At 33.9% G+C, this 11,250-nt stretch overlaps 1 long non-coding RNA gene across 1 annotated transcript in view; it reads right to left on the reverse strand.

Annotated features, from left to right (window-relative positions):
* LOC107987056 (uncharacterized) overlaps positions 1-10,486 on the reverse strand; it is a 52,442-nt gene extending 41,956 nt beyond the window's left edge. Inside the window, exons 1-2 of the long non-coding RNA XR_001746637.2 lie at positions 10,401-10,486; positions 7,676-7,859 (exon numbers count right to left, since the gene is read on the reverse strand). This is a non-coding gene — a long non-coding RNA (uncharacterized LOC107987056). The remainder of the gene's footprint in view (positions 1-7,675; positions 7,860-10,400) is intronic.
* Between the last annotated feature and the right edge of the window lie 764 nt (positions 10,487-11,250).

Consider the following 11,250-nt stretch of genomic DNA (forward strand, 5'->3'; position numbering starts at 1 on the left):
TTATAACCTTTTATCACTGATATCTATGTTAATCCATGAATCATGAGCTTTCACATATTTCCAGATTACAAACTACTGTAGGGAATAATCAGTGTTTACTAATATTTCTTATATTTTCCTGAGTAACACATGGCAGGGAATCCAGATCAATAAATGTCTCCTAAGGCTTCTCTGAGGTGCTTGAGAGTTTAGGACAAGCTAAGATATCAAGTCCACACTCTTAGAGCTAATAATCTTTTTTTATTTAACACAGGAAGAATAAAGTATCAGAATGGAACTAATTTTCTGAAAGGATTGAAGAGAAATAATCAAGCATAGTATTCTAAGAGGCAACAATAACATTTTTAAAGTAAATTGCAAATTGTTAAGATGAGTTCTAAGTCAGAAAAGTCAATAGACATTGGTAACATGCTGAAATACTGTATAAATGTCATTGAGTCGCTGAGAGTTTTTTGAATAAAGCCTGCTGATTTAGGTCAATGTTAAGAAATATAGACCAAAAAAAACAAAAAACATGACAATCCTTAAAATTGTTATTCTTCTACTGTATGAACACTGATCATCCCAGTTTCCTAGTTGTGGCAAAAAAAAAAAAAAAATGAGCTCAAAGATTAGCTCTTGAATTTTCATCACAACTTTATGAACCTAATAACAGAAAATGTGTCTTTTGAATACTTGTAAGAACTGAATTATATGCATCATTATTAATTTTTCAAAGTTGATAGTTTAATAAGAACTGGCCATTCCCAAGCAACATATTAAAGTACTATTTTTTAACCTATCTTTCTTCCTATTAGACCATGATAATAGGTCCAGCCAGAGACTGTGTCATTTTTTTAAATAAGCCAAGATATAGAACTATGCCTATAACAGAAGAGATGCTTGCATATAATTACATACAGTAAATGCTGAATACTTGAATTGATGAACTCAAGACTAAAGCTGAGCCATTTTCTTTCTGACTACTCTCCTGTAAGTACCATGCATGTACTATGCACATGGAAACATCTTTGCCATTCTTTCTTTGTGAATGAAACATTGAGCTTTATAGTAGTGAGTGAATGTTAAAGTATTGACTTACCTGTTTTACTTCTATGAATAAGTTTTTATTTGGGCTCAAATAGTGAAATCGTGGCCACTCTTGAAATTTACACAGTAGAAATATGGGAGGATTATGATGAACTCTTGTGAAGTGTTTATTTAACATTACTGCCCCAAGAGCATAATAATACCAATTGGCAATGCTAGCCTGAGTAATTTGGTGTCATAAAGCTTTGCATGGCAGAACAAAAGTGGCTTCCAATATCCTGTTTATTGTTAGTTTCCAGGACAAAACGTTTATCATTTCCAAGGAAAAGAAAATCACTTTTGGAAGTTGGAAATTTTTAATGAAAACATAAGTAAAAGAGTATCTTGCTATTTCTTCTATAAAATCCCACAAAGGCCCAGGTGTCGAAACATATTTACAAAACATGCCATAGGCAGAAACAGAACAAGTGTTGTGATGGACAACTGAGGCAGCAGGTATTGCAGGGCAGGACTGAAAAACATTTCTGCGAAACTATGTGGCACCATACCACACCTGCTACTATTAATTAGAAAACTGAATTCTCTCCCTGAGCCAATATTTATATTTCTCTTTGTATCTATTACACATTACGTTTCTCATCCATTACAAGTTAAAATAGTTTTGAAAAAGACACTGTAGAATAATGGAAAAGCTCAGGATTGGGAATAAAGACATAGGGGTAGGAAGAGGGAATAGGGACTAACATTTCTTCAATAATGCACCACATGAGAAGCACTTTTACAAATATTATCTAATTCAATTTAATCCCTCCAACATCCTAGAGACAAAGTTGTAGTCCACTTTCAAAGATGGGAAATAGGTTCAGAGAGGTTATGGAAACTAGCCATTTTGTTGCAGACATGTTTTATACCAGCCTCCAAACTCTGTTCCTCCTGCTGCTGCTAATGAGCTGTATGAACTTTTGTGAATTACATTCCCATAATCTACGCTTTGGTTTCCTCTTCTGTTGTATTTGGTTAATACCATTGATCTAGGTGTTTTTAAGTGTTATTTTGATGATAAAATTAGATAACCTTTAAATGTATTTTTATCAAGAAGAAGCACTATGAAACACAGGTTACTTTGCACTCACAGCTGATTTACAGTACTTATAATAGAAGAAGGGCCACTGCATTACTATTCTTGGCCTGTCTCTGCTTCCTTGTCTCCATTTAACACATATGAAGCCACCCAATCTTACTTTGCTAACACTAGCAGTAAAGCTTTTAAAATGCGATTTTAATATACCTAACTCCTTTTCTCTCTCGTTTCAGAATTTAAGAGGAAGGGGTTTATTCTTTTTTTCTTTCTCTGAAATTTATTATTGCCCTCCCTGTTGACTCATCCTTTGCTTTCACCCACCAATTGGTAGACCTAAGTTCCTCAAAAATGTCATAGTTTGGACAATTGACCTAATTTTTAACCTCATGAACAATCTGTTTTAAAGTAGTTATATTTATAACTTTAATCTTGACTCTTACAAATAAAGTCAGACCCTTGTATTAAAAAATAAGAAAAAATATTTGTGGACATATTTTAAATAACCGTACATTTGTATTGTTTATTCAGGCACTAAACTTTCATATTTGATAGCAACAAAATGCACTTACAATCTGTAAACAGATGGAAGATTAAGCATATGGTTATTAAAATATCGATTTATTGTTCTCTAGTACAATATATTTTCCTAATTAGGTTTTTCATGGAGTTTAATGTGATGGTTAAATAAAGTAAATTGCAAAAGAAAATGTAGAGTTTTAGTAAGCAATATCTGACATATATGAAATCTCAAGTAATCCCTGCCATATAAAACTATACCCAGACTCAAAAATATATTTAAAACTTATTACTAATCACAAAACAAAATAAGAACAAATATGATTACTTTACATTCATTGATACGAATACAGCATCTATAACTATTTATTTGAGAAATATTTCCCTTTTGGAATATTCAATAGATGTTTCATATTTCATTTTGTTAATGTGAAGAAAAGGTCCCAATTATTCTTGTATGCTTAGCCATCCGTCCAGTACTTTGAGGTTCAGGTTGATATAATTAGTATGTGTACATCCTTTTTGGTACATATCCTGAAGGGGATACCATGGCTATAAAAAGTGCCAAGTCTCAGAAAAATTGTCTTAACCTCTTTTACGTTTCCTCTGACATTAAAATTTCTGATGATGAGTTGGTTCGAAGGCCCAGTTTACGTAAGATTTAAATGCCATTCAGAGAATTACAGAATTTAAAATGTGTAAGGAACTATCAAGATCCTTTTGTTCATTAACGTGACAATCTCTAATCATTTGCGTAGCACTTAGGGATTTTCCTCTTATCTTTTTATGATCTGTACCACTATGTACCTAAGTTTTTCAAAAAATTGCTTTTTTACAAAATGAATACATGAAGGACAGATACTTTAAAACAACCTTATATCAAAGTTTTAATAGGATATTAACTCATATAAAGATAAATTAATGTTAAAATAAATTATATAGGTCTATGTGTACAAAGAAGATAAATTATATAGGTCTATGTGAATAAAGAAAATAGATTATAATTAAAATAAATTTTATGTTAAATACATACACACATAAACATAGACTAAGTCATCTCTATTATAGTAGTAGGATAGATATATACTGTAAATAATAATCTTCTTGAAAAACACTCATTGTGTTTATCTTACTGTCCTCCATTATAGGATATCTATGAGAACAAGCATGAGCAAATATCTTTATTCCTGTAGTGTTTGCTCACTGAACATAGTTGTACACTTAGAGAGTAAATATTTCTTCCAAGTATTGTAATAGCTTTTAAAATAGATTTAAATGAAGTTTCAGAAACTATCTGATTATTTAATACAAATAAACTTAACAGATAAACCATGAAAAGATATACTCATCAAAATAAGTGAATATAGAAGAGTACTCTCTAGTTTTGGGATTACAAAGATCAAACTGAGTGATGACTCAAGTGGTCACACATTGTCACAGGTTTTGGTGGGAGTGGCTATTTTTTTTTTTACTTTTAAGTTGAGGGGTACAAGTGCAGGTTTGTTACATAGGTAAACTTGTGTAATGGGGGTTGTTGTACAGATTATTTAATCACGCAAGTATTAAGCCTAGTACTCATTCGTTATTTTTCCTGATCCTCTCCTTACTCCCACCCTCCACCCTCTGATATGCCCCAGTATGTGTTGTTCCCCTCTATGTGTTCTAATGATTTAGTTTCCACATATAAGTGAGAACATGCAGGACTTGGTTTTCTGTTCCTGCATTAGTTTGCTAAGGATAATGGCCTCCAGCTCCACCCATGTCCCTGCAAAGCACATGATCTCATTCCTTTATATGGTTGCATAGTATTCCATGATGTATATGTACCACATTTTCTTTGTTTGGTCTATCATTGATGGGCACTTAGGTTGATTCCATGTCTTTGCTAATGTGAATAGTGCTGCAATGAACATACCCATACATGTGTCTTTATAATAAAATGATTTATATTTCTCTGGGTATTCTACCCAGTAATGAGATTGCTGGGTCAAATGGTATTTCTGGCTTTAGGTCTTTGAGGAATTGCCATACTGTCTTCCACAATGACTGAACTAATTTACCCTCCCACCAACGATGTGTATGAATTTCTTTCTCTCCACGACCTTGCCAGCATCAGTTATTTTTTGACTTTTAATAGTAGCCATTCTCGTTGGTGTGAGATGGTATCTCATTATGACTTGGATTCACATTTTTCTAATGATCAGTGATTTTGATCTTTTTTTCACATGATCGTGCTGCATATATTTTGAGAAGTGTCTGTTCATGTCCTTTGCCCACTTTTTAATGGAGTTGTTTGTTCTTTTTTCTTATAAATTTGTTTAAGTTCCTTATAGATGCTGGATATGGAACCTTTGTCGGATGCATAGTTTGCAAAAATTTTCTCCCATTCTGGAGGTTGTTTACTCTGTTGATAGTTTTCTTGCTGTGCAGAAGCTCTTTTATTGATCACATTTGTCAAATTTTGCTTTTGTTGCAATTGCTTTTGGCATCTTCATTATGAAATCTTTGTGCTTGGGTTTTACATTTAAGTCTTTATTCCATCTTGAGTTGATGTTTGTGAATGGTGTAAGTAAGGGGTCCACTTTTAATCTTTTGCATATGGCTAGCCAGTTCTCTCAGCACCATTTATTGAATAGGGAGTCCTTTTCCCATTGTTTGTTTTTGTTATGTTTTTTCAAAGATCAGATAGTTGTAGGTGTGTGGACTTATTTTGGGGGTCTCTATTCTGTTCCATTTGTCTATGCATCTACCAGTACCTTGCTGTTTTTGTTACTGTAGCCCTGTAGCCCATAGCGCTGTAGACCTGTAGCTCTGTAGTATAGTTTGAAGTCAGGTGGCATGATGCCTCCAGCTTTGCTCTTTTTGCTTAGGATTGCCTTGGTATTCAGGCTCTTTTTTGGTTCTGTATGAATTTTAAAATAGTTTTTTTCTAGTTCTGTGAAGAATCTCAATGGTAGTTTAATAGGAATAAGATTGATTCTATAAATTGCTTTGGGCAGCATGGCCATTTAAACAATGTCAATTCTCTCTGTCCATGAACATGGAATGTTTTTCCATTTGTTTTTGTCATCTCTGATTCCTTTGAGCAGTGTTTTGTAGTTCTCCTTTGTAGTTCTACAGTGTTTTGTAGAGATCTTTCACCTCCCTAGTTAGCTGTATTCCTAGGAATTTTATTCTTTTTGTGGCAGTCATGAATGGGAGTATGTTCTTGATTTGGCTCTCATCTTGACTGTTGATGATGTATAAAAATTCTAGTGATTTTTGCACATTGATTTTGTATGCTGAGGCTTTGTTGAAGTTGTTTATCAGATTAAGAAGCTTTTGGGCTGAGATTGTGAAGTTTTCTAGATATAGAATCATGTCATCTGGAAACAGGGATTGTTTGACTATGAAGTTTTCTAGATATAGAATCATGTTATCTGGAAACAGGGATCGTTTCACTTCCTGTCTTCCTACTTAGATGCCCTTTATTTCTTTGTCTTGCCTGACTGCCCTGACTAGGACCTCCAGTACTATGTCAAATAGGAGTGGTGAGAGAAGGCATCCTTTTTTTGTGCCAGTTTTCAAGTGGAATGCTTCCAGATTTTGCCCATTTAGGATTATGTTGGCTGTGGGTTTGTCGTATATGGCTCTTATTATTTTGAGGCATGTTCTTTCAAAACCTAGTTTATTGAGACTTTTTAGCATGAAAAGATGTTGAATTTTATCAAAAGCCTTTCCTGCAGTTATTGAGATAATCGTGTGGTTTTTGTCTTCAGTTCTGTTTATGTGATGAATCATATGAAACATACGTTGAACTAACCTTGCATCCCAAGAATACATGATTATGGTGGGTAAGTTTTTGATGTGCTGCTGAATTCTGTTTGCCAGTGTTTTGTTGAGGATTTTTATATCAACGATCATCAAGGATATTGGCCTGAAGTTTTCTTTTTTTGTCATGTCTCTGCCAGGTTCTGCTGTCAGGATGATGCTGGCCTTATAGAATAAATTAGGGAGGAGTCCCTCCTTTTCAAGTTTTTAGATTAGTTTCAGTAGGAATGGCACCAACTCTTATTTGTACATCTGGTAAAATTCAGCTGTAAATCTGTCTGGTCCTGGGCTTTTTTTTTTTTTTATTGGTAGGCTATTTATTAATGCCTCAATTTCAGAGCTCATTACTGGTCTGTTCAGGGATTCAATTTCTTCCTGGTTCAATTGTGGCTAACTAATTTGGTATCATACGCCAGTGGAAAAGCTTCCAGATTTTCCCATTTAGGATCATGTTGGCTGTGGGTTTGTTGTATATGGCTCTTATTATTTTGAGGTATGTTCTTTCAAAACCTAGTTCAATCATGTTCCTGGTTCAATCGTGGCTAACTAATTTGATATCATACTCCAGTGGAAAAGCCTTTTTGATAACTTTTACAGCTTTATGTGAAAAGACCGTGTTTTTTGTATAATGCTACTCAAATGACTGTTCTCATAAACAAACAAAACAATTCTGTTTCTCAGATATCTTTTTCTCCGTATTTCACAATATCCCTTTAAAAAAATGGCACATAGAACAATGACTCCTGGCCCACACTGCTGATTCCAAACAGATCGACTTTCAGCATCTTTACACTGTAACTATTTTCTTCCTAAATTTATGATGAGAATGGCTACTGAAGAGCTAGTGAACAAACTTGAAACAAAATGCGTGTCAGGGAAGAGAATCTACAGATCCTTATCTTTATACCTATAACTTGACAACCCTGTCTCAGAACACCTACCTACATATTCACTATCCTTCAAAATCCTTCATCCTCAAGCTACTCAAATATAACTATACATATACCCATTAAGTTGAATATGACTATGAATATACATTTTTCTAAGTTTCATAAAAAGATCAATTGCTCTTGGAATCTTTACATCTTTACACATAAAGGATAAGAGTAAAAAGGCCTGTAAATTGCCTAATGTCAAAGACAGATGGTTAGTAAAGGGTTCATTTGTCTCCACTTATCCTTGTTTACTGTAAGAGTCTCATTCTCATCTACAGTTGTATTCTTATTTAAACATACTCACCGTACAATACAGCATAACGGCAGTGAATGCCAATGTATAGGAGGCACACGTTTGTCACTGTTGCTTGGTAACTACTGACAGGTACTGTGGATTGGAGAGTTGGGGTACAAAGCAATAAGTGAAAGTTTTATCAGCTCCATTGACTTCAGGTGGGAGAAAACTGTCTTCAATATAAAAATGACTCCTTTGGATTATGAAAAAGATACAGAAAAGTAAGTTTATTTCTCTATTTTTAAAAATGAAGCAAAATCAACCATTATATTGTGATAGACCAGTAAGTCATTACATGAAAAATTAGCTGATTGTTGGTAAAAAGAAGAAATGAATATACCTAACAAATCAGTCTTTGAGTGTACTCTCATTGTAGTGAGGTGAACTACTGATAATGTTTTTGATCACATTTCTTTTCTCCTTTTTATTTCCAGATTGAGAAAAAAAAAAGCCTTATTAGACTTCACATTTTAGCATGCATTTTTTTATATTGGTCCAAAACATAAACCTGTTTTGTATTTTAAAGGATTGTATTCCTTTCTCCACAATGCATATCATATAGTTGGCAAATATTTTAAAATCATAAACAAAAGAAAAGATTGAAACAAGCATGGCTTGGCCATTACTCTTAATAGGTATTTTAGTTTTGACTTTTTCAGATCACATTATTTCATCTGGCTTACTGAAATTGCTATTTCCTATAATGTTTATGGCTATCTCTGCTTATACTTTTCTACCTTTCAGTTTTAGAACGCTTGTTTCCTTCCAAATATTTACCTTAATTTTTTAGGTTAGGTAGTCAAACATAATCACTCATACATTTACAGAAAAATATATATTTCTAAACAGGCTATTGTCAGATGTTGCCAGAGATATAAAACATGATATCAGAGAAAAATTCATACCCAACACTTTCAGACTATAATTATATATTCAAAGCTCAAATGCTATGGAATTTGAGATTTTGAATCCCATCGCTGATACTTTTAAATACCATCTTTCTAATTACTTCACCCATGAGAAAATATCATGAGCTACATTAAAAAAATAAATAAAAAGAAAGAAGACGTAAAGGCAACCCGTACACTTGCTTTCATGAGTTTAGGAGGAGAGTGATTAAATTGGTGGGAGAGGCACAATTATCTGTTTCTTATTCTGTAACTTGTGTTACATTTCCCACAAAAGAGAAAACTAAATAAAATAGATGATTCTAAAATATTTTTTTCACTTAACAAATGTTCATTCACCATTTCCTACATTCCAGTACTAGCCTGCTTTTATAGATAAGAAAACAGGTTCTTAGAGATGTTCAATAACTTGACCAGCAATAACTGTTAGCCAGTGATAGAGCGCAGACAAGACCAAGCCTGTCAATTTGAAGCCTAAAATCTTAACCCCTAAATTTCATTGGCTCTTAGGATCTCAGCTCAGCTGAGGGTCCAAATAAAGGAATTATTCTATCCTTTTCTGTATTTGACCATAATATTCTGTAGGAACCTGAAATTTCCAGTTCGTGGGTCATTTCTGGAATTGAGTCTGCATTTATAATCCAAATTAATGAGTTCAACTGCAGCATATTAAGCTGGCATTCTCTCTTTAAATTGTCCACTTTTCCTACTGTTTCATTCTACTTTCATGTTCTGCTGGGAAGAATTGTCTTTACCTTCCAGATTGGGCAATTTAGCCTAGAAAAAAATAGATCTGCTGGGCACGGTGGATTGCCTATAGTAATCCCAGCACTTTGGGTGGCTGACATAGGAGGATAGCTAAAGACCAGATGCTCAAGAATAGCCTGTGAACATAGTCAGACGCCATATCTACAAAAAGTGAAAAAAAATAGCCAGGCATGGTGGCTCCTGCAGTTCCAGGTACTGGAAGGCTACTGCGAAAGAATCCCTTGAGCCCAGGAGGTAGAGGCTGCAGTGAGCTATGATCATACCAATGCACTTAGCCTCTGCAACAGAGTGAGACATTGTCAAAAAAAAAAAAAAAAGGAAGAAAGCAAAGAAAAAATAGATCCACTCATCATCCAATCTCTGTCAGATTTCCTTGAATATCTCATAATGAAAGCCATTTAAGTAAGTATAAATTTTACAAACTTAAGTCTTTTATAGAAATGTTGAACTTCTCCATAATTCACTTGCTTTCATTCTTTTGTGGAACAGACCCAATCATTGAACACACTTTTGTGGATGAATAACATGGATTGATTTAAGAAACTGACTTTACATGCTCTTAGTTTATTGTACTTGATGTAAGCTGTTGAAAGTTGCTTAAGGGAGACTGAAATTTCAGTTCAAAGTTTTCCCATCACAAATTTATGTTATCTAACTTAAAGAGAGTACACTGTTCCCAGAACACTGTGACTATTTTATTTCAGTATTTTAAAACACTAGAGGTTTAATAGAGGGAAATAAATACATAAATAATTCCAGTTAATACTAGGTCTTTTATTTTTTGGCTTCTAGCCGTAAACAGAATTCTATACATTTGTCTGGAAAATGCTAGTTAACAGAAGGTTCTCTCTGTCCTTAAAAATTGTGAAGGAAGACACTTTAAGTAAGGGCAGATAAATTAATAGAGGTCATTAGCTTTGTCATATTTGAATTAGCTATGATTGGTGTTTCCTGATATAACATAATCAGTAAGAACTCATATGAGTTTAGATTACAGGCAATGATAATATTTAATAATATACCCAGGTAAATAGACATAAAGGAATTCAAGTTTTTACCTGCAAACACTCAATCTAGATCTTGACTGAAAACTTGAAATATATTTGATGACATAATCACAATGTTGGGATATCTTGATCTGTCTATAAATGTGGCATAAAAGAATAAACATATCATTAACATAGGAGTTGGGATCACTTTTTACCTTTGTTATCAAATAAGTAAAATAACAGTCATAAACAAGTAAAATTAAAATATTTGGTGGAGGGCAACAAAATCATCTGTAATTTAAAGAAAAAATGTGAAATTCCATTTATTACAATAAGTAACAGATAATCATTTATTTTACATTATAGCTCCTTTGAGTGGTCTTTGACTAGCTCTCCTCAAACGCTGAATAATCACACTATGTGAGTAATAGGACTGACATTCTGAGGAAGCGTCTGTCTGCAATAGGCACACATTTCAAAGAGCAAAATCTTCTTGCAAAATATAGCATGGCTATTAGTAGTTATCTATGCTTCAGATGTAAGAGTTCCCTTGGAGAGCCAATCCATAGAGAGACCAATGATGCCCATTAGACTAACAGATATTTGGAGTTTTGGTCATCCATAGGCTGCCCTTGGTTGTCATTCGGTCTGAAGGACTGAATCTCTCTACCTGAACTTCAGCTTGATAACTGGGAGTTCATTGTTTATGCATGGACCACTCATATGACCAGTGACTGCTGACTGAGGCCTGTGGTTCCCAGATTAGTTTTTTGCACTAGATCTCCAATTACCATAGTCAGTGGAGATTTCCAGACTGCTTGGACATCAGGCCTCTTCTGTTTACTAGAACAGCTCTATGGGGTAGATCCACTCTATGTACCGTTTTTTTTAATTGTTAAAAATGTTTTCATTCTTTGAT

The sequence above is a fragment of the Homo sapiens genome, chromosome 9, assembly GCF_000001405.40.
Source record: "Homo sapiens chromosome 9, GRCh38.p14 Primary Assembly".
Classification (NCBI taxonomy): domain Eukaryota; kingdom Metazoa; phylum Chordata; class Mammalia; order Primates; family Hominidae; genus Homo; species Homo sapiens.